A 22,624-nucleotide genomic window follows, 5' to 3' on the forward strand; every position below is an offset into this window, starting at 1 on the left:
ACCTTAGTAAAGAGTATTCATGTGCTCAAGAGGAATAACTTCCTGGCTAATTCTGTCGTTTTTCTCGTTTTTAAATTATTGATATTATGTTTTCTGCTCTTAAAAATTACTGTGTCCACAGAGGTCTACAGAAGAAAAAAAGTAAAAAAATAAATAAAAATTACTAATGTGTAATATTTTAGCTATGCATTAAGTTATTAAGTAAACTTTTGTTAGCAAGACTGATAACCTACTATTTATAACATTGTTTTACTGTGAATTGAAACCAAATTAATTTTAGACCACATCCCATTTGAAATTTGGAATTACTTGTGTTTGTATGTCTTGGTGGGTGGGTTCATAAATGTGGCTGTATCAATACAGATATATATGTAGATATTTTAAATCTATATATATATAATTTATGGAGTCATGAATCTTTTATATTTTTTGAGACAGAGTCTTGCTCTTTCACCCAGGCTGGAGTGCAGTGGCACGACCATGGCTCAAGCAGTCCTCCCACCTAAACCTCCTGAGTAGCTGGGACTACAGGCTTATGCCACCATGCCTGGCTAATTAAAAAAAATTTTTTTTTAGAGACATGCTCTCCCTATATTGCCCAGGCTAGTCTCAAACTCCTGGGCTTGTCATTCCCATCTTGGTCTCCCAAAGTGTTGGGATTATAGGCATCAGCCACCACTCCAGACCAGATTTTTATTTTTTTGAAATAGGATCTCGCTTTGTCGCACAGGCTGGAGTGCAGTGGTGGAATCCTGTCTCATTGCAGCCTCGAACTCCTGGGCTGAAGCGATCGTCTCGCCTCAACATCCCAAGTATTAGGATTACAGGCATGTGTGAGCACATCTAGCTAATTTACTCCTGGCCTCAAGTGATCCTCCTGCTTTGGTCTCCCAAAGCGCATGGATTACAGGCATGATCTGCCAGGCTCTAAAATGATTGTTTTTAATGTTTCTGCTTCTTTTTTAAGCCTACAGATGAATTTTCAGATCTGCCTCTTCGAGTAGCAGAGATTACTAAAGAACAAAGACTACGAAGAGAAAGCCAGTACCAAGAGAACCGCGGCAGTTTGGTAGTAACAAACGGCGGAGGTAAACATAATTCCGGTGACAGCTAAAGTGTTTGCAACCATTTAACTTTTTAAAGTTGTCTTTTTCATACCCACTCCTTTTGTTGGTGTATCTATAGCTTCTTCACTCTTCTTTTAAAGACTTCTTTTCATATATGATTGAAAAATACTATTTTCCATTGGGATGAAACTATGATTTCTGGTTTCAGTCAGAGTTAAAATACACTATTTCTCCCTTGTTTTTATTTTGGGAGGAAACTTTATTAGAGACAGTACACCTGGAGCAGATCTTTGTTAATCTGGATTTAATCACGACCTTTTGAAGTAACATTCTCCCTTTTTAAGATTCTTGCTGTGGTCATTATTTGATCTCTTTTAGGAATTTAGTCCTTTTTTTTTTTTTTTTCAGTGTTTACCTTTTCTTCACCTGGAATTGTCAGATGCTCTTCAAAGTCATCTGAATCACAGTTTTCCTTATTCTGACATTAAAAAATTTGTAGTTCATTAGCAAGCAGCACTCTCTCTACTTGCTTATACTTCCGAAGCAGACTCTTGATTTTCGCATTCAATTCTGTATTGCTTGAATTGGTTTGAATTTAATGTTTAATGTTTAATTTCATATTTAAATTTTGAGGGCCAGTTATAATGGAAAATAACTTTGATTTTCCAGAAACCTATTGCTTATCCGAGGAGAGCTTTCATTTCTCAGTGACGATTTCAATTAAATGGTTTGCTGTCCTTTTCCTTACCATCTTAGATTCTTTACTCCTGTCGTTACCATTTCATTTACATTTCAGTAGTTGTCTTTTAAGTGTTTCTCTCATATGAGGTATCTTTCTCCATCAGTTTATTTAAGACTTAAAATAATGTTGAGATCTGTGCCGGTATGATAGCCACTAGCCACATGTGATAATTATTGAGTATTTGAAATGTGTTTTTTTAGGCTGGGCGTGGTGGCTCACGCCTGTAATCCCAACACTTTGGGAGGTTGAGGCGGGTGGATCACTTGAGGTCAAGAGTTTGAGACCAGCCTGGCCAACATGGTGAAACCCCATCTCTACTAAAAACCGAAAAAAAAAAAAAAAAAAAAAAAAAAGCAGGGCATAGTGGCATATGCCTGTAATCCCAGCTACTCGGGAGGCTGAGGCAGGAGAATCACTTGAACTCGGGAGGTGGAGGTTGCAGTGAGCCAAGATCACGCCACTGCACTCCAGCCTGGGTGACAGAATGAGACTGTATCTCGAAAAAAAATCAGAAATGTGGTTTTTCCAAATTGATATGTATTGTAAGTATAAAATACACATCAGATTTTGAAGACTTCCTTTGAAAAAAAGCGTGTAAAATAGTAATATTTTGCATTGATTATATGTTGAAGTGATATTTAGACATATTAGACAATGTAAAATATTAAAGTTAATGCTGCCTCTTTTACTTTAAAAAATATGGCTACTAGAAAATTTCAAACGACATATGTGGTTCACCTTCATGGCTTGTGTTATTTTTCTCTTTGGCCACACTGGTCTAGATTGGATGAAGAAGTAAAGTTACTTTCTTCAGAAATCGTCTTAATATAAACCATTAATTTAGTCAGAAAAGTTTTAGCACATTTAAAAAATGCATTTATGTACCTGGTTTCTAATGTGGATGTAAACTTAGAACCTTTTCATCTTTTTTAGCTATTAATAAAACTCTAATAACTCAAAATTCAATTTTATATTAATTGTAGTCACAGAATTATTTGTCAATAATTGAGTCAGAAGACTAAATTGAGAAATAGGCTTCCCCAAGTTCACTGTTCCAGCAACTGCGATTTTTAGGCAGCCTGTAGAACGTCATGAAGTAACAGGTTGTGGTTTAATGCATCTCTGGAAAAACTATCTTAGTAGGAAGTTTTTTTTTCTAGTGTGCCATTTTAAGTAGTTGTTTCATTACTTTTAAACTTAAAAATAATGGGGGATTCCCAAACTTAGCAGATGAACAAGATGTGGCTAAAAATAATTTATATACGTCTCCTCACCCTAAAGCATTTTGAGAAGAAGAAACTCCTCAAATGAATCCCTTCCCATCCATAAACTATTATAAAATATCTACATTGCTGACCTCTAGCAGATAGTTTTCCAAATAGGACAATCTTTGTTCTGATCTTTTTTGTTTCTGCTTAATTGACAACAATTACAGGAAGGGAGATAGTAGTCAGAAACTCTTTCTTTCTCGAGTCCAGTTTACTCCTACCTTTTCTCTTTTTTGTGTGTGGCCTTTGACTTTCTCTTGAGTTGACTGTGTTCGGTTTTCCACCTGCCATCTCCTCACGGAGATATTAAGCCCCAGACCTAAAACACGAAAACACAAAGATGCACCTTTCAGTCTTTAAAAATTGGTCTTCGCTCTTTGTCTCACAAACTGAAACTACTGTGTTTAAAACAGTAAGGAGCTGTCCAAAGAAAAATGGTAGAGGTCTCTATTTCAATAATTATCATCAATTGCTACATTCTTTAGTGAACTAGGACTAAGGTTTTCTGGAGCCTATTTTTGTGAGTGGCCATGAACTAAATAATAAACACTTGTGTGCCAGGCACGTTGGCTGATGCCTGTAATCCCAGCACTTTGGGTGGCCACAGTGGGCGGATCGCTTGAGCCCAGGAGTTGGAGACCAGCCTGGCCAACATGGTGAAACCCCGTCTCTACTAAAAATACAAAAGTTAGCCGGGCGTGGTGGTGCACACCTGTAATCCCAGCTACTTGGGAGGCTGAGGCAGGAGAATCGCTTGAACGTGAGAAGCAGAGGTTGCAGTGAGCCAAGATTGCACCACTGCACTGCAGCCTGGATGACAAAGGGAGACCCTGTCTCAAAAAAACAAAACAAAATAAAATATAAGTAAAATTAATTTAATTTTTTTTTTGTTTTTGAGACGGAGTCTTGCTATGTCACCCAAGCTGGAGTGCAGTGGTACGGTCTTGGCTCACCGTAACTTCTGTCTCCCGGGTTCAAGCAATTCTCTTGTCTCAGCCTCCCGAGTAGCTGGGACTACAGGCGTGTGCCACTAAGCCCAGCTAATTTTTGTATTTTTAGTAGAGACGGGATTTCAGCATATTGGTCAGGCTTGCCTTGAACTCCTGACTTCAGGTGATCCACTCACCACCTCCACCTCCCAAAGTGCTGGGATTACAGGCGTGAGCCACCAACCTTGGACATAAAATGGGTAAAAAAAAAAAAAAAAAAAAAGACTTAAGTAATTTAAAGTTTTTATCATCCCTCCCACTTTCAAAATAGAAAATCATGGGGAAAAGGAAATAAGTAAATGTCTTTTATTGGCTATCTAATTTGAATGTTTTTTTCTGGTGTGTGTGTGTGTGTGGGTGTGTGTGTGGTGTATACAGTGGAACATGATCTGGATCAGATTGACTACATAGACAGCTGCACCGCAGAGGAAGAGGAGGCCGAGGTGAGACAGCCCAAGGGACCAGACCCAGACAGCCTTAGTTCACAGTTTATGGCGTATATTGAACAGCGGCGAATCTCTCATGAGGTAGTACACAGATTGAAGCCTAAATATGTTGCTATCCCTTCATAAAAATAATTCATAATAGTATAAAGTTTTGTTATATCAGTGATTTGTTGACTGAAGCCTAATTGTTTTCATTATGTTCACTTCTGATTTCAGTCCTGAGTTTTTCAGATTTATTCAGAAAACTCAGACAGCAGCCTCAAGTAGGCTTTAGGTTTATTTTTCAAACAAGAAGAAAGATTTCAGAATTTTGCAGGAGGAATAAAAGAAGTCTAGGTACTGTTAAGGCCTTGGAAGAAAGTACAAAGAAAAATACAGTGATGCTTTTCATTGTTGTTTTTATTGCTTTTTTATTGTTACTAACTGATAAATCATAGTTTGGTCAGTAGTTAATTAACAGTTAAACCAAAAAGTTGACTTTTGTGGCAACATGCAGACTTAACCATAGAATTTTTATAATATGCTGAATTATATTGGAGCTTTTGTGCTAAGTCACACAGAATGTAAATTGTTTGCTATTAAAGTTCTTGGGTATCTCTTAAGTGGAGCATTGAATTGCCTTAGAAAACAAATGTGCATTCAGCCCACTACAGAATCTCTGCCAATTCCCCAAGGGTCTCAGATAGAATAGCATTCTTCAGTCTATCTTGTCAGCATAATAAAATGGCTTCACTTTAGTGGATGTGATGTTGATGTCTGGAGCTGGTTTCAGGCTCTGAGCAGTGATTATTTGAGAAACACTTGGGCCCTTTTAGAGAATGATGTATTATCCTTTTAGAAATAGAGAAGAATCTCTTTGGTCTGAGACAGCTAAAAGGAAAGAAAAAAAAAGAAATAGAGAATAATCATTTCAAGTGGGACATGTTGTAGAGTGATATTATCATTCTTTATTTAATGAAGCAGAGTCACTCTGTCGCCCAGGCTGGTGTGCCTTGGCACGATCTCGGCTTACTGCAGCCTCTGCCTCCCAGGTTCAAGTGATTGTCCTTCCTCAGCCTCCCGAGTAGCTGGGATTACAGGCACCTGCCACCATGCCCGGCTAATTTTTATATTTTTAGTAGAGACGGGGTTTCACCATGTTGGCCAGGCTGGTCTCAAACTCCTGACCTCGGGTGATCTGCCCGCCTCAGCCTCCCAAAGTGCTGGGATTACAGGTGTGAGCCACCGCACCCAGCCAGTATTATCATTCTTTTTTTTAAAAAAAGGGCCTTGGTTTTTCCTATCTGAATACTTTTGAACACCGTATTTTTTGTTGGTAAAGAGACATACTTGTATTTAAAGTTGGATAAAATTAGATAAGTCAAAGTCCTACAGCCCAGAGATGGCAGTGTACTAGGTGACTGATGAAACTACTTGTTGAGGCTGCTGGAGCAAGGGGCAACTAACTATTTTGCAATAAAATTAAAAATGACACATTATAATCCTTAAAGGAATTCATTTTCTTTTTTCCTGGTCTTTCTCTTTGATCATGTTATGGTTACTTAGGCTGTATAAATGGAGTATCTCTACTAAAAGTGAAAATGCCTATTATACTACTATAAAAAAATAGTATTTCTTTAATTCATTGTATTGTTTTGTAATAATATTTTTAAAATTCTGGCTGCCTGTTACGTATGGTAGTCTTTATGACTTCTGTGTCATAAAGCTTTCGTAAAATTTAGCATCTGTGAAAATGTGATGAGGCAGCATTATTTTAGATGGTTTCACAACCAGTGAAGTATCTTTTTATTTTCCTGAACACTATCTAAAAATGGAATGTTAAAAACTAACCTATGTGAGGTGTTAAACACTCTACTATTATTTAATTTTATTATAATACTTGTCACATACATAGACCATTCCTGTCTGAACATGGTATGATTTTTTTTTTAATTAAACCAATGTCACATTCATTTTGTCATGAAAATTTCGTGTGCCTCTTAGAATAATTTTAGATAATTGCAGTATCATAAAACTAGGATGGGGCTGGACATGGTGGCTCACACCTGTAATCCCAGCACTGTGGGAGGCCAAGGCAGGTGGATCACTTGAGGTCAGGAGTTTGAGACCAGACTGGCCAACATGAAGAAACGCTGTCTCTACTAAAAATATATATTAAAAAAAAAAAACTTAGCTGGGTGTCATGGCAGGTGCCTGTAATCCCAGCCACTCGGGAGGCTGAGGCACGAGAGTCACTTGAACCTGGGCAGCGGACATTGCAGTGAGCCGAGATTGTGCTACTGCACTCCAGCCTAGGTGACAGAGCAAGATTCTGTATCCAAAAAAAAAAAACTAGGGTGGTAAGCCACTGGTACAGCGTCCTAGGAGAGATTTGTGTTTATTGTTTAAAGTGGTGTAGCTTGGCCTGGTGGCTCCTTCCTGTAGTCTCAGCCACTCGGGAGGCTGAAGTAGGAAGACTGCTTGAGCCCGGCAGTTTGAGGCCGGCCTGGGCCACATAGCGACACTCTGTCTCCAGATAAGCAAAAATTTTAAAATGGTGTCTTCACTAAAATTAGAGAAATTATTTTTGCATCAGAGTTGTAGAATTGTAGTTTATTATTTGGGATCTCATGTCCAGACTTTAAGACAGTCAGTTGTTAGCCCTTTGAAGTAACTCACCAAAAGTTTCTAATGATGTGTGATATACCTGTTTCTTGGAGGTAGATGCTATTTCTTGGAAGTAGATGGTAAGTAGTTTTATGTTTGATTTGTAGATATCCTTTTTGGGAAAGTTGTTTTCTTATTTTTCCCTTGATGAATAACCATTTTGATGATTATTTTTGGTGTTGAAACAAGATTGTATTGCTTCTATAGGTTTTCCTTTGATAACCTTTAATCCTCTACCTTTGATTTATAATTTTATTTTTCAGTGCGTGGTCTGTATTTTAAACCAGTTTAATTTTCCTCAGTAATACTTTTTGAAAATGACGTTTTACTCTTTGGTTTGTAGATAAGTAAAATTGCCAATAATATTTTCCTTTTAAATACGGTATTTTACCATAAATAGAAATTACTTTTTGTTTTGTCTTGATATTCACCGACACACTCAAGACTGTTTGTATGAGTATGATAAGAGACAATTTGTTGTGATGGATAAATAAAGAAATGTAACCTGCCCAGTGAACTCACTATTACCAGAAATATTCAAGAGAAACTGAGCAAATGTTAGGGTAGGGTAGGTGGGAATTTCTGTCCTAAATGGAAGTCTGTTAGTGACCTCTTCGGTTCCTTTCTAATTCTAACATCTTATTATTCAGTAAATATTACTGTGCTTGGTCACTGTAATGTATATAATACAGTGAGAAGGAAATCTACTTTCTTATAAAATAAAATAAATGTTTGTGGATTGTGAATGTTTTTGTTTATTAAAGCAGCAGTATAGCATATGATGCTTTTAAACTTAAAGTTTACATTTGAAGAGTCTATTAAAATGTTTTTTAGTGTAATATATAAATTAAATGACAAATTGGATGTGAACTGTGTAATCGCAGTGTTCTGGATTAATATACTAAATTTATTTATTTCTGTCCTCTGGCCTAGGGTTCACCAGTAAAGCCAGTAGCCATTAGGGAGTTTCAAAAAACAGAAGATATGAGAAGATATTTACATCAAAACAGGTTTGAAAAACCAATTCTACTTAATTTGTTTCTGTCTTAATCATGAGAGCATAAAGTAATTTTGGTTTTATGCAGATCTGTGTGTAATAAAGATGTTTACATGGCATGTATTTAGAACTGAGCGACGGTGTGCTTTTTTGTACTCATGCCATAGAAAAGGTAAAAACTGATTTGATTCTAAATTGAGACCATCTAAATCATTACCTACACAGTTAATCGATCTGAAGATACTTAGTAGCAATGAGATTTTGTGGTGAAGCTATATGGATTCATGCACAAAAAGGGCTAAAAGAATTTCAGGACTGGGCATAGTGGCTAACACTTGTAATCCCAACACTTTGGGAGGCCAAGACGGGAGGCTTGCTTGAGCCCAGGAGTTTGAGACCAGTCTGAGCATCATTCTACCCCTCTACAAAAAGAAAAAAAAATAGCCTGGCATGGTGGTGCATGCCTGTGGTCCCAGCAACTCAGAGGCTGAGGTGGGAGGATCGCTCGAACTGGGAGGGTGAGACTGCAGTGAACCCAGTTTGTGCCATTGCAGTCCAACCTGGGCAACAGAGTGAGACCCTGTCTCAAAAAAAAAAAAAAATACAAAATACAAAAAACGAATTTCGAGAGTTCTAATTTTTTTTAACTTACATTTTTGACTGGATAACAGAGAGAAATAGTCAGAGACAGTGATATGTATCACCAGTCCTGTCTCCGTTAATACACTCTTTCCACTGTACTTGGTGCCTCTCAGAATATTTTGAAAATTAGGCCCTGTGCGGTGGCTCATATCTGTAATGCCAGCACTTTGGGAGGCTGAGGCAGGTGGATCATTTGAGGTCAGGAGTTCGAGACCAGCCTGGCCAACGTGGTGAAACGCCGTCTCTACTAAAAATACAAAAAATAGCTGGGTGTGGTGGCACACGCCTGTAATTCCAGCTACAGGTGGCACATGCCTGTAGTCTCCAGGCTGAGGCAGGATAATCGCTTGAACCCAGGAGGCGGAGGTTGCAGTGAGCCGAGATCGCACCATTGCCCTCCAGCCTGGGTGACAGACTGAGACTCCATCTCAAAAAAACCAAAAAAAGAATATTTTGAAAATTAGCTTGATCGTTTAGAGCACTGCTTCTCATTCTTGAATTCCAGAATGTTTCTTGCCATGAAGAATTTCACAGTAGTTGGAAATTTCAGCCTTTAGTTCTTTGCCTTCTGGTTTTATGAAGTCTTGGTACACCTATTCTTAAGTGACGGTGAATTTACGTAGTTCTTATACTTGACAAGGTATTAAAGGTAACTCGGGGGACTGAGCTATAGATGGAATAAATGTGTAGGGAGAAAAAAGACAGACATCACTGTGACATTTATACTCTTATCACTTAACTCATGGAGATTTAATTAAATTTGATATGCTTTGAAATTTATTTCAGAATGTCTTTTCAGTTGCCACGTGTCCTTTTATTGAGAGTGTAGTCTTTTAAGATTCCAGTTTTATGCAGGAGTTTCCAGTTACATTCCCCACCTTGAGTGGGCCTGCATTTTATATCTCCTGCCCCTCTCACGTCCTGCATCCATCATAGGTGAAGCTCAAGAGCTCCAGGATTTAGTAGAAACCCTCAAGGTAAAAGCTGGCTCTTTCACTCAGTTACCTTATGTGTTAGTTTTCTGTTGCTTGTGTTACAAAGTTAGCAGTTTAGAACAACACCTCTTTATTATATTATACTTCTGGAGGATAGAGCCTGGGCAGGCCCCGCTGGGTTCTCTACTTAGAGGCCAAAGTCAGGGTATCGGCTGGCCTGGATTCTCATGTGGAGACTGTGGAGGAGAATTCATTTTCACGCTCCTACATCTTGGCAGAATTCAGTTTGATGCAGTTACCGGTCCCCATTACTGAGGTCCCCATTATTTTCCTGGCTGCCAGCTGGTGGCCATTCTTGGTGTTTAGAGCCCACTCACATTCCTTCTTCATGGCTCCCTCCATCTTCAAACCAGGAATGACAGGCCAAATCCTCCTTATGTTTGGAATCTTTCTTACTTCCCTTTCTGCCACATCTCGCAAATTCTTTTGCTTTTAAGGGCTCGTGATTATATTAGGTCAACCTGGATAATCTCCCCATTTTAAGGCCAGCTGATTAGTAACCTTAATTTCATCTGCAAAGCCTTTTTTAAATGTAATACAACAGCATTCACTAGAGTAAGGCCAGGGACCGAGATCGTGGAAGCCAAAAGTCTGCCTACCGCATCTTAGTCCAGAGTTCCTGTTTTTACTTCTTTTTGAAGGTCTGTGGATTCTTTATTTTCATGGCACCTTAGCAATACATTTTAAAAGCTTGTTTTATTTTATTCAGCATTTTGGTTATTTCCATTGGAAGAGTCATTCAGGGCGTTTAGTCTGCCACAGTGCTGGAAACTAAAGCTAGGATTACATGTTTTGTTTTGTTTTGTTTTGTTTTGTTTTGTTTTGTTTTGTGACAGGGTCTTGCTCTATTGCCTTAGGCTGGGGTGCAGTGTTGTGATCATGGTCACTGCAGCCTCTACCTCCCAGGCTCAAGCAATCCTCCCACCTCAGCCGCTGGAGTAGCTGCAACTTCAGGCGTGTGCTACATACTCAGCAAATTTTTTGTTATTTTTAGGAGAGACAGAAATCTCCCTATGTTGCCCAGGCCGGTCTCAGACTCCCAGATTGAAGTACTAACCCTCCTGCTTTGGCCTGCCAAAGCGCTGGGATTACAGGTGTGAGCCACTGCACCCAGCCATGATTACTGTTTAACTCGGGGTTCCATAGCACAGTCCTTGGATAAGAACTCCATACTTGATCCTAGTAACCAGTTAGGCTCTAGGATCAATATATACTTCATGTTTTTAATTAGCAGGTATTTGTGAAATATCTACTATGTGCCAAGTTCCTTTCCAGATGTTGGGATATAGCTATGAACTTAGTCAAAATTCCCGCACTCCTGGAGCTTACATTCAAGTGAAATGTTGAATTCGAACCTAAAAAGACACAGTCGCCTCAGAATGACTGACAGCTCTCAGACCAGCAAGACTTGTCTCTAATCTGAATAACATGTTAACAAAAAGACTCTACCTCAGCAGTCTGTCAGTTACAGCAACTCAAAAACATTGAGTGAGCATAAGGAATCCTCTGCTAGTGAGCTGAAAAGGAAAGCTTGCTTACCCGTTTTTTTCTTCCAGTTCTTTTCCCCTACCCTCATCCAACACATACATTTCTTCCCACCTACCACTCCCCTACCGCTACCCACATAGAGTCTACCCTACTGGGAGATCATAAACATAGGGAGATACAATAAATAAAAAGTGTGAATGTTTTGTAGTATTTGCCAAGATGGATTATGTAAATTTGAAATTGAAACTAGCAAAAATTATGTTTTAAAAAAATTGTTAAAATAATTTTTTATGGGCTGGGTGCAGTGGCTTATGTCTGTAATCCCAGCACTTTGGGAGCCCGAGGCCAGCAGATCACCTGAGCTCAGGAGTTCCAGACCAGCCTGGCCAACATGGTGAAACCTGATCTCTACTAAAAATACAAAAATTAGCCGGGTGTGGTAGCTTGCACCTATAGTCCTAGCTACTTGGGAGGCTGCGGCAGGAGAATCGCTTGAACCCTGGAGGTGGAGGTTGCAGTGAGCCGAGATTGCACCACTGCATTCCAGCCTGGGTGACAGAGCAAGACTCTGTCTTAAAAAAAAAAAAAAAAAAATTATAGGGCCTACTTATAATTTGAATAGCATTTTAGTTCAGGAGAGATGATAATACCAGACTAGGTTCTGTAAAGTGTGTTATAGCTTCTATAAGAAGCAATATAGAATTAACATTTAGATAAAACCTGGAAGTTTTTTTGTTTCATGTTATATAGACACAGCCAGAAAAGCTACTCACATTAATTATGTGATTTTGTAAATAAAGAAAAACAGAGAAGGCAGTTTAGTCTGCCTTATACTGGCCAGGTGTAATACACCTGTATTACCTGTATAGTGCTGGGTGTAATCCCAGCACTATACTGGCCGGGTGTAATACACCTGTAATCCCAGCACTTTGGGAGGCCAAGGCAGGTGGATCCCCTAAGGTCAGGAATTCAAGACCAGCCTGGCCAACATGGCAAAACCCTGTCTCTACTAAAAATACAAAAAATTAGTTGGGCGTGGTGGCATGCACCTGTAATCCCAGCTACTTGGGAGGCTGAGGCAGGAGAATTGCTTGAACTTAGAAGGCAGAGGCTGCAGTGAGCTGAGATTGTGCCCCTGCACGCCAGCCTGGGCAACAGATACGCCATCTCAAAAGAAAAAAAAAAAGTCTGCCTTATAGAGATAAAAGTCTGGTTTACTTAGCTCAAGTAAGTTCAAGATTTAAAGGAGATACATACATGTTACCTGCATTTTTGTTTTTTTATGTCTCAATATTCCACACTTTTTCGGGAGAGGGTGCTACTGTCATTCATTCAAGCAATATTTCTTAAGCACTATAGTGGTTCTGTCTCTGTTCCAAATCCCTGATATTTTAGAGTTACTTTTTAGTGGATGTAGACAAATATATGTAACAAGCATGTTTCAGGTACTGCTAGGTGCTATGAAGAAAAATAAAGCAGGATAAAAGAGATGGTAGGGTGAGGGAAGAGTGCAAGTAATGTTAGATGCCATGATAATATTTCAGTAGAAACCTGAAAAAGAGCAAACATTATGGATGTCTAGGGGTGAAACGTTCTAGGTAGAGGTTCTGAGGTAGGAACATGCTTTTGGTGTATTCAAGAAACACCCAGGAGTCTGAGTAAAGCAGGACAAATCTGGGATGTGAGATGAGAGTTCTGCTGTGGTTATGTTCTATTTCAGGTACCTACAAGACATCCAAGTGGAATTATCAAGTAAGCAGTTAGATTTATGAGTTTGGAGTAAGGTGGCAAGAATTAGGGCTTGAACAACCAGAAAAACAAACTGAGTGGGGTGGTCATGGGGATAGGAGAAAGAGGGTGGTGTCCTAGAGGCTAAATGAGAATGGTTGTTGTTTTTGTTTTTTTGAGACACGTCTCTGTCACCCAGGCTGGAGTGCAGTGGTGTCATCATAGCTCATAAGCAGCCTTGATCTCCTGGACTCAAGATCCTCCCGCCTTGGCCTCCCAAAATGCTGGGATTAAAAGCATGAGCCACTGTGCCTAGCCTTGAAAACAGTGTTTGAAGAAGTATAGAGAGGAATGAATAACATCACTTACTGCTCATAGGTTTTTTGTTTTTTTTTTTCCCAGATGGAGCCTCACTCTGTCGCCAGGCTGGAGTGCAGTGGCGCGATCTTGACTCACTGCAACCTCCACCTCCCAGGTTCAAGCGATTCCCCTGCCTCAGCCTTCTGAGTAGCTGGGACTACAGGCGCGCACCACCACACCTGGCCAGTTTTTCGTATTTTTTTAGTAGAGACGGAGTTTCACCATGTTGACCAGGATGGCCTCTTATCTCCTGACTTTGTGATCCGCCCGCCTCGGCCTCCCAAAGAAGTGCTGGGATTACAGGCGGGAGCCACTGCACCCGGCCCTGCTGATAGGTTTAATAAGGGGAGGACTAAGAAATAGCTATTGGATTTGGGGATGTCAAGATCATTGACAGACTTGTGAGGTGAAAGAAAGTTTTAGTGAAACTGAAAGGACGGGACGCAGATTGGATTGGGTGCAAAATACAGTAATGAGATAAAGTGGAAACAATGGGTTTGACTGGCTTTTTAGAGAAGTATTGTAAAAAGAGGGTAAATGAATCTATGTACTTGTAATCCCAGCACTTTGAGAGGCTAAGGTGGGTGGTTTGCTTGAGCCCAGGAGTTCAAGACCAGCCTGGGCAACATGGCGAAACCCCATCTCTACCAAAAATAGATGAAAATTAGCCAGGCATGGTGGTGCACACCTGTAGTTCCAGCTGCTTGGGAAGCTGAGGTAGGATTGCTTAACTCTGGGAGGTGGAGGTCTCAGCTGAGATCGCACCACTGCATTCAAGCCTGGACAACAGAGTGAGATGAGACTCTGTCAAAAAAAAAAAAAAAAGAAAGAAAGAAAGAAACATAGGTAGAAAGAAGATTTAAAGGAGATACATACATGTTATCTGCATTTTTGTTTTTTATGTCTCAGTATTCCATGCTTTTTCGGGGGAGGGTGCTACTGTCATTCATTCAAGCAATATTTCTTAAGCACTAGAAAGTGCTTAAGAAAGTAGAAAGAAAGTGTGTATTAAAAAATTGAAAAGCGGCTGGGCATGGTGGCTCACACCTGTAATCCCAGCACTTTGGGAGGCTGAGGTGAGTGGATCACCTGAGGTCAGGAGTTCAAGACCAGCCTGGCCAGCATGGTGAAACCCCGTCTCTACTAAAAATACAAAAATTAGCCGAGTGTGGTGGCGCATGCCTGTAATCCCAGCTACTCAGGAGGCTGACGCAGAAGAATCTCTTGAACCTGGGAGGTGGAGGTTGTGGTGAGCGAGATCGTGCCACTGCACTCCAGCCTGGGTGACAGGGCAAGACTCTGTCTCAAAACAAAACAAAACAAAAATTGAAAAGCATTTTTAAAGTTTAGTGTTCAGGTTAGGGCACATAAACACACTTGAGTTGGTTTATTTGGTCCTTTCTATGTTTTGTTTCAGTTCATCTACAGATGGCCGCTAAAAGCTATGGGAAATTTTAACAGTGAAATTAGTAATCTAGGGAGAAAGTTGCAGTTAATTCCTGTTACTCTAAATGTGTAATCAGGGCGTGGCGTGGTGGCCCACACCCGTAATCCCAGCACTCGGAGGCCTCGGTGGGTGGATCACTTGAAAGCTCAGGAGTTTGAGAGCGACCTGGGTTAACCTAGCAAAACCCGGTCTCTACAAAAACTGCAGAAATAAGCCTGGGTTGGTTGACACACACCTGTAGGCCAGCTGTTCGAAAGGCTGAGGCGATATTATCGCTTGAGGCCAGGAGGTCGAATCTGCAGTGAGCCATGATCACGGCATTGCACTCCACCTTGGGCCACAAAAAAAAAAAAAAACAAAAAAAAAACGGCTGGGCGCAGTGGCTCACACGCCTGTAATCCAATTACTTTAGGAGGCTGAGGTGGGAGGATGGCTTGAGGGGCAGGAGTTTGAGACCAGCCTGGGCAACATAATAAGACCCTCATTGCCACAGAAAAATTAAAAAAAAAAAAACAAAAAAAACAAAGACAGCTGGGCGTGATGGCTGGAGCCCAGGAGGTCAAGACTGCAGTGAGCCATGATGATGGGTTTTTTTTGGTTGCCCTAATTAGCACACTGATTTCAGTGCCTGTAGATCAGCCTGATAGGCTAATCATCATAGTTTTGGAGGCCACGTCCTAAACGTCAGACAGTAACTAATCTTGCCAGTTTTAGTTTCAGACACAAAGATGAGTTACAGAGACTTGAGCAATGAAATCTGTTTCAGGAAAAGGATAAATAGTAAACTATAAGAATTAACACTGATAGCAGTGAGAAGGAAGTACTACTTTTTTTTTGTTTTTTTAAGCATTAAAAAGGGCTTTGTATTTTTCTTAAAAATAAAAAAACCAGAATCTTTATTTCTGTGTTAAAATTGCTTCATCGATTGAAAATAAGAGCAGGTGTGCTTTATAAGTACAGTTACGAGGTTCTGTAGTTGATAAAAATGACTGTATGTAAAAGGATCTCAGTTTACATGTATCGTGTTTTAATCATGGTGGTAACGAAGATAATAGTTATTTGTGTTATAAAGAAATGATGCTGTTTGCAAGGTGATCTCAATTAACTGTATTGTTGGTATTGGCTGACATAGACAGTTGATACCACATGAAACGTGAGTTGGAGGCATCAGATTTTCCTCTGGTTTCACTTAATGACTTGGACTTAGGTTTACAAAATGCAGCTACTCCTTCAATGCTAACTAGGCAGTTTGCTACTGATTAATAGAAAGCTACATTTACAATAAAAATTTCATTTGTTTTTTATGTATCTGTTTGTCTTTTTATCAAAGAGTTTTTTTCTTTCTTTTTTCTTTTTTGGGTCAGGGTTCCAGCTGAGCCATCTTCCCTCCTGTCACTATCAGCAAGTCACAATCAGGTAATGTTTAGTAGTTGTGTTTATTTTTGCTTTTTAAACTAAGATGATTTTTTTTCTTTTATAATACTTAAATTGCCATTAATTGCCAGGTATATTTAAGCATTACTAGCTGTCTCAATCGATTAATATAACATATGTACGTGATACTTGCTAACAGTGTTTTTAGACACTAGATAGAAAATCTTTACCTTCATGATGGCTTTATAGTATTAGTTTGGTGCACCAACCTAATACATATAAGAACCGTGCAAAGACGGGAAAAGATTAGCCAATAAACACATTTCAAGCAATGCTAGGTGACTTCAAAGCAAAAGTTGCATGGGTCAACAGTAGTTCCCTAAATTGATAGGGAATATTGGTAACGTGATCCTCATTTTTACTTTTGTATGCACAATAACGCTTTGGTTCCAGCTGTCACACACAGACCTGGAACTTCATCAGAGAAGGGAGCAGTTAGTAGAGCGCACTCGGAGAGAGGCTCAGCTTGCTGCCCTGCAGTATGAGGAGGAGAAAATAAGGACCAAGCAGATCCAGAGAGATGCTGTCCTGGACTTTGTCAAAGTGAGTCGTTTGAATGATGCTGTTCAAGCTGCTGACTGGCTAAGTGCTTATTTGTTTGGTCAGGCCCGTTGGTTTTTATTGTCCATTAAAATGTCGACCATTTTTCTCTCTGTAAGGAATCTTGACTAAATAGAGTGTCTCTTTTACTTGTGTCTATCTGCATGAGGACAGAACAAGTGATTATCTTGTTAACGGTAAATCTGTCATTGGACATGTCACTTTACTATCCAGCTGCCATTTCCTCAATTTCTAGTGTCATAGTAAAGATCAGTAAGATGAAAGTGAAAGTGCTGTGTGAACCATAAAAGGCCCGTGCAGATGCAAACTGTTACTCAGACCTCTCTCCAGCTTCCTCGCTTTTGTAAATAACAAAAGTTTGCTAGCCTCACAGGCTTAATCCTTTGCAGGAACTTTGATTTGTTCCTTTCTGCTCTCCACACACATCCAATTAACAACGCCATTAATATTTCTTAACGTTTTGCAGCCTCTATAGTAGTGCCTGAAATGTTGTCATTTTATTTTACCTGTATTGCTTATCTTTTTGTTCTGAAATCGTCATTTTTTCTTCATAATTAATTATTTGTAATTTTGTTTACTTAATATCTGTCTCTCATTTATCTGTAAACTCCATGAAGGTAAGAACCATGTCTGTTTTACTTACTGCTGTGTCCCTAGACCTTAGCAGGTCTTAGCTCATAGTAATGGTCAATAAGTATTTGTTGAATGATTAAATGAATTTTTCTTGTCCACTAAAGACTTTCCTGTATTTCATACTTTAACTAGAGACCATCTCCTTTAAGTACGATGCGTATGTCTGTTTTACTGTTTTACCTGATAAACTCTTTTTTTCTGAATGTACCAGACCCTTGGCAATGACGTTTAACTCTCTTTCTCACCTGATTCCTCTTCATCCAACAAGTTCCCTTGTCTCTTGTTTTCTATAAAAATGCAGGCAAATCTGGCCGGGTGTGGTGGCTCACGCCTGTAGTCCCGGCACTTTGAGAGGCCAAGGTGGGTGGATCACCTGAGGTCAGGAGTTTGAGACCAGCCTGGCCAACATGGCAAAACCCTGTCTCAAGTAAAAATAAAAAAATTAGCTGGGCGTGGTGGTGCATGCCTGTAATCCCAGCTAACCAGGAGGCTGAAGTGGAGGAATTGTCTGAGCCTAGGAAACGGAGGTTGCAGTGAGCTGAGATCGTACCACTGCACTTCATGCAGCCTGGTTGACAGAGTGAGACTCCACCTCAAAAAAAAAAAAAAAAAAAAAAAAAGTAGGCAAATCTTTTGACCAATAGCAAAAATACTAAAATTAATATTCCTACAAGCAGAAGTTCACAAAGGTACCTCCCTCCCTCAAAACCTTGTCTGCCCTGAGATGTTTCTTCTTTTTGTGCCTTTTCAACCCTCATAAGAATTGTTAATGTACTAATGGCCATGTTCTCTTGTCCTCCTTTATCTCTGTCATTGTATTTTCACACAAGTCATCTAATACTATACATACTATATCTCCTAATTTGTCTAACCATTTCTCTTTCCCTTAAGTCCCTGCTTGATTTGTTACTACATACAAACTTTTTTATATAGTTCTCTTGAAACTAACGGAAATACTTTATTGGTTTATTCTTAATAGGTCATTTGGAGGTGTTCAGGTTTCACAGATGAGGAAGCTGTAGGTCTAGGAAGATTAAGCAATGTGGTCATTTATAGTACATTTGTTTTCTTAATCAGGAGGCAAACCTAGACTTCTGAAAGCCTAACTTGGTTCGTCCATTTGACTTGATAGACCTTTATGGAATGCTGGTTGTACAAGGAATATAAAGATGCATAAAATACAAGCCCTGCCCACCAGGCACAGCTTAGACCTTATCAGGGAAATAAACACAAATAAAACAGAAAATAAGGCAGCTTATAATGAAAGTGCTAGTTTTATATTCAAGACAGTAGAAGACTTAGAGAACAAGTATCATCAGAATTGACCTCAAAAAGAAATTATAGGGACCCTGAAGAGTGAGTAGGTAGGATTTAGCCAGGAAGAAAAGACTGGATGATGGTGTAAAGGGGGGTTCGTTTTAGGCTGAGGAAATCTAAACAGGATGGGAGCTGGGAATGGCCTTGTGTGATTTGTAGATTTAAAATAATGGCACTTGCAGGAAACACCAGCTGGCCTGGAGAGTTTGTATTGAAGACTTATGGGAAAAATGAATTATTGAGATGATGATAATCGTACTTAAAACTTATTGAATGCTTATTATGTAGTAGGCACTATTTTAAGTACATTATATATATTTACTCATTTAATTCTCCCAACTCTCTTTAGGTACCATTTTTTCTTTTTTTTTTTTTTTTTCCTTTTAATTACATTTATTTTAATGCTGAATTTACTCCCGTGCCGTAAGTTTTTGTTTCTTCAGTTTCTTCTGGGATATCTTTTTCTTCTGGGCAACCTCCTCTTCTGGTTTAGGAACAATCTGTTCCTTTTCCATAAGGATCATCTCAATGTGGCAGGGAGAGCTCATGTATGGGTTAATCCGACCATGAGCTCTGTAGGTCCGGCGGCACATCTCAGGTGCTTTGTTCACTTGGATATGCTCAATGACCAGAGAATCTACATCTGAACCCTTAAGTTCAGCATCACTCTCTGCATTTTTAAGCACGTGCAGCAAAAATTCAGCACTCTTTCTGGGCCACCGACCTTGTGTCCAGCCCCACTGCTTGGCCTGCGCACACCTGCCAACTCCATCATTGTAACGTCGGAATGGTACACGCTGTTTCTGTAAAGTGACATCTTTCAGATACTTCGTGGCTTTTCGTATATGCATACCCTTGGTGGCCTGAGCAGTTCCACGAGTGTTCTTAAAGTGAACACGAAGATTGGAACCTCTTGATTTGCATGATTTCGTGGGGTTCTCCGGGTCAAGTGAATAGCGAACCATTTTTCACAGATTACCTCAGGCTGCTTAGGGAAAGAGCCCATTTTTTCTTTTTATGAACAAGGAAACACGCTCAGAGAGAATAACAGTTTACTAAGATTAAATACTCAGGAAGTGGCAGGATTAAAATCCTGTGATTAGAACAAGGCAGGTTGGCTCTGAAGCCTATTCTGTGAGCACAGTCTATGCTGCCTCTCGGTAATAATGGTTAACACTGAATCTTAAGTGCTGTTCTATGTGTTTTGCATAAATTAACTTACTCAGTTTGCCTTCCGTAGAAGTCACACAGCCAGTAAGAGATAGTCAACTTGTAGAGAGTCTTGATTAAATGTCAAATTAGTGTTGGATCTTGATCTATTAAGTAAAAGAGAACACTTGAGTTTCAAAGCAGGAAAAAACATGAGAAGAGAGAGACTTCTGAAAAACTAATTGACTTGCGTTAGAACTGGTTAGGAAGAAAGACTAGAAAGAGGAAAATGAAGAAGGAAATTGCAATAGTTAGACTAGGGTGCAAAATAAGGCATAAAAACCAGATGGTTTCTAAAGGTCCTAAGGGTTGGCAGTATTGCAGTGACAAGAGCCTAAATTCAGAAATCTCTGCATTTGAATCCAGCTTTGCCACTTGCCGTGCGCTTGACTTTCAGAAAGCTACTGAGCCATTTTATGCTGTTAGGTTCCTCCTGTGTGTGATATTTAACTATTAAATATTAACTATCTCAGAATTATTATGGATATACCTAATGCTTAATACTAGTATGGTAGATGCTATATCCCCTATTACTATAATAAAATGGATTTGCTGAATTACCTATAAGAGAGATGGTGAATAAATCACAGATGGTGAATAAATCACTGAAGAGGGTGAAAAAAAAGAAGCTCCCAAAGCAAGGTTTGGAGGCTGAAAGATGGTTTCAAATGAGGGTCTAGCATTGTGGAAAGAACACAGGCTTTGCAGTCGGAAGGCAGGCCCAAACCAGTTATGCTGCTGACGAACTTGGAGACCTTGCACGTGCCGCATAACCTCTCTTCTCGATTTTCTCATCTCTAAATGAATATGATGATGATATTTTATCTCACACAGTAGAAGAATCACTGAAATACTGTGTACACAGTGACATACAGTAGAGCACGTTGTAAAGCAGGGACCACACCAATGCTATAATGTTATTATTAGATTATTAGACATCACACGTTGGAGAAAATAGCCAGTTAGTATGGGACATTGTGAGTTTGTTTTTGAATGTGTCAGATATGAGGTGGAGTGGGGTTTCCAAGTAGAGAGTTTCCATAGACAGTTGAAAACACAAACCTGAGATTTGCTTCTAGCTAAGGTTATTAGCATTCGAGTGATACTAAAGCCATTAGAGGGAGAGAATAAGTTCATCGAGTAAGAGGTCAATATTCTGATTATAAATGTGTTTGTGTAGATATATGTATAGTTTTTAAAATTTCTAGCTAAACATTTTCTAACTAGTAAATCTAGAAAAATGCTATAAACAAGAGGTAAAAAAATTAATTTGAGTGATTATTTTAGTAAATAGAATTTGTTATTTGCAGTGTTCCAGGCTCTAACCAACTTCCTTTTTTGGGGGGTTTTGGGATTATACAGCAAAAAGCATCACAAAGTCCACAAAAACAGCACCCGCTCCTAGATGGCGTAGATGGTGAGGTAAGTTGATGTAATCTCCTTTTCTTTGGAGTTGATTATTTTTGCAATGGAAATGAAATGTTTACATGTAATTGTCATGTTTTCAGTGCTCGGAATATTGCCATTTTTCTTTTTCCACCTCACAATATTCTCCTTATGAGGGAGATGATACAAGCCAAGGAGTTTACTAGAATCTATAGATCAAGGCTTTTTTCAGCTATACACATCCATCTAGAGATGATATTTCCCTCCCTGACCCCCACCAGAGGCACCGTCCCCGTCTCCTCCACTTTTGAAGCGTTGTGTGTAGAGTCCTGGGAGCTTTACCTGGTACAGGTAAATGGAGTGGCTACTAAACAAAAAAAGACTCTTACATAGGATTTCAGATTCAGTGCTATCAATGATAACACTTATTTTATAATATCAAATAGTACATTTTTCTTACAGATTAACAGAAAATAAATCACTTAACCTTTTAAAAATCTACACACCTCTTTTGATCTGTTAAAATGAAGCTTACTAAATGTTTTTCTTGTAGTTGGCTTTCTCATTAACCATTTTCCCTTTAAAAACCTACCAGTTTTTTCTTTTTCTTTTTCTTTTTTTTTGAGACAGAGTCTCACTTTGTCACCCAGGCTGGAGTGCAGTGGCGCGATACTGGCTCGCTGCAACCTCCGACTCCCGGGTCCAACTGATTCTTCTGCCTCAGCCTCCCGAGTAGCTGGGACTACAGGTGTGCACCACCACGCCTGGCTAATTTTTGTATTTTCAGTAGAGACGGGGTTTCACTGTGTTGGTCAGGCTGGTCTCGAACTCCTGACCTCATAATCCACCTGCCTCGGCCTCCCAAACTGCTGGAATTACAGGCACTTAATTCCACTGCGCCTGACCCAGTTTGTTTTAATTTATGATCATTACCTCCTTGAAAAATGCATAAAAGCGTTGTTTCATGTGAATTTTGACTTTGCTTTTCATAAAATAAGTTATTTGAAAACCTAACACGTGGGGCTTTACAAGCAACAATTTTCAGTGTTTTTAAAGCACAGGAGTTTCTGGTATGGAAAAGTGTATTGTTTGAAATGTTTTCAATTGTCCATTAGAAAGGTTTTTAAAAAGTTTTATCAGACATAGAACTACTTCTGTTTTTTTATGTTAGAACATTATATATTTGTATAATACCTCAAAGATTGGCTCCAGCATGTTCACTTGTCTTTTCTTCACCTGGTAATAATACTAACACATTTTCGACAACCA

The 22,624-nt window shown here is 39.3% G+C and overlaps 1 protein-coding gene, 1 long non-coding RNA gene and 1 pseudogene across 19 annotated transcripts in view, besides 1 other annotated feature; 1 reads left to right on the plus strand and 2 right to left on the minus strand.

The window, feature by feature from the left end:
• Positions 1-22,624, plus strand: part of LRCH3 (leucine rich repeats and calponin homology domain containing 3) — a 97,211-nt gene that overhangs the window by 40,004 nt on the left and 34,583 nt on the right. For all 18 annotated transcript variants that reach the window (XR_007095758.1, XR_007095759.1, XR_007095760.1 and 15 more), the window contains exons 8-13: positions 968-1,088; positions 4,445-4,593; positions 8,092-8,168; positions 16,180-16,231; positions 16,643-16,792; positions 21,332-21,391. Coding sequence is in view for 14 of the 18 variants with exons in the window: in NM_001363887.1 (NP_001350816.1) it covers positions 968-1,088; positions 4,445-4,593; positions 8,092-8,168; positions 16,180-16,231; positions 16,643-16,792; positions 21,332-21,391 (609 nt within the window). In the remaining 4 variants the exon portion in view is untranslated. The remainder of the gene's footprint in view (positions 1-967; positions 1,089-4,444; positions 4,594-8,091; positions 8,169-16,179; positions 16,232-16,642; positions 16,793-21,331; positions 21,392-22,624) is intronic.
• LOC105374310 (uncharacterized) lies at positions 46-21,355 on the minus strand. Its single transcript, XR_001741090.2, has 3 exons — positions 19,983-21,355; positions 3,299-3,396; positions 46-125 (listed from the first exon to the last, which is right to left on the minus strand). It is a non-coding gene; the product is annotated as an uncharacterized LOC105374310 (long non-coding RNA).
• Positions 16,974-17,033: an enhancer, noted in NCBI's record as "active region_21121". NCBI's record gives its function as "activates an Ori minimal core promoter by ATAC-STARR-seq in GM12878 lymphoblastoid cells {active_cell/tissue: GM12878}" and the evidence as "EXISTENCE:reporter gene assay evidence [ECO:0000049][PMID:35858748]".
• On the minus strand, positions 19,133-19,747 carry RPL17P18 (ribosomal protein L17 pseudogene 18; annotated as a pseudogene).

This window comes from Homo sapiens, chromosome 3 (assembly GCF_000001405.40).
Source record: "Homo sapiens chromosome 3, GRCh38.p14 Primary Assembly".
Taxonomy (NCBI): domain Eukaryota; kingdom Metazoa; phylum Chordata; class Mammalia; order Primates; family Hominidae; genus Homo; species Homo sapiens.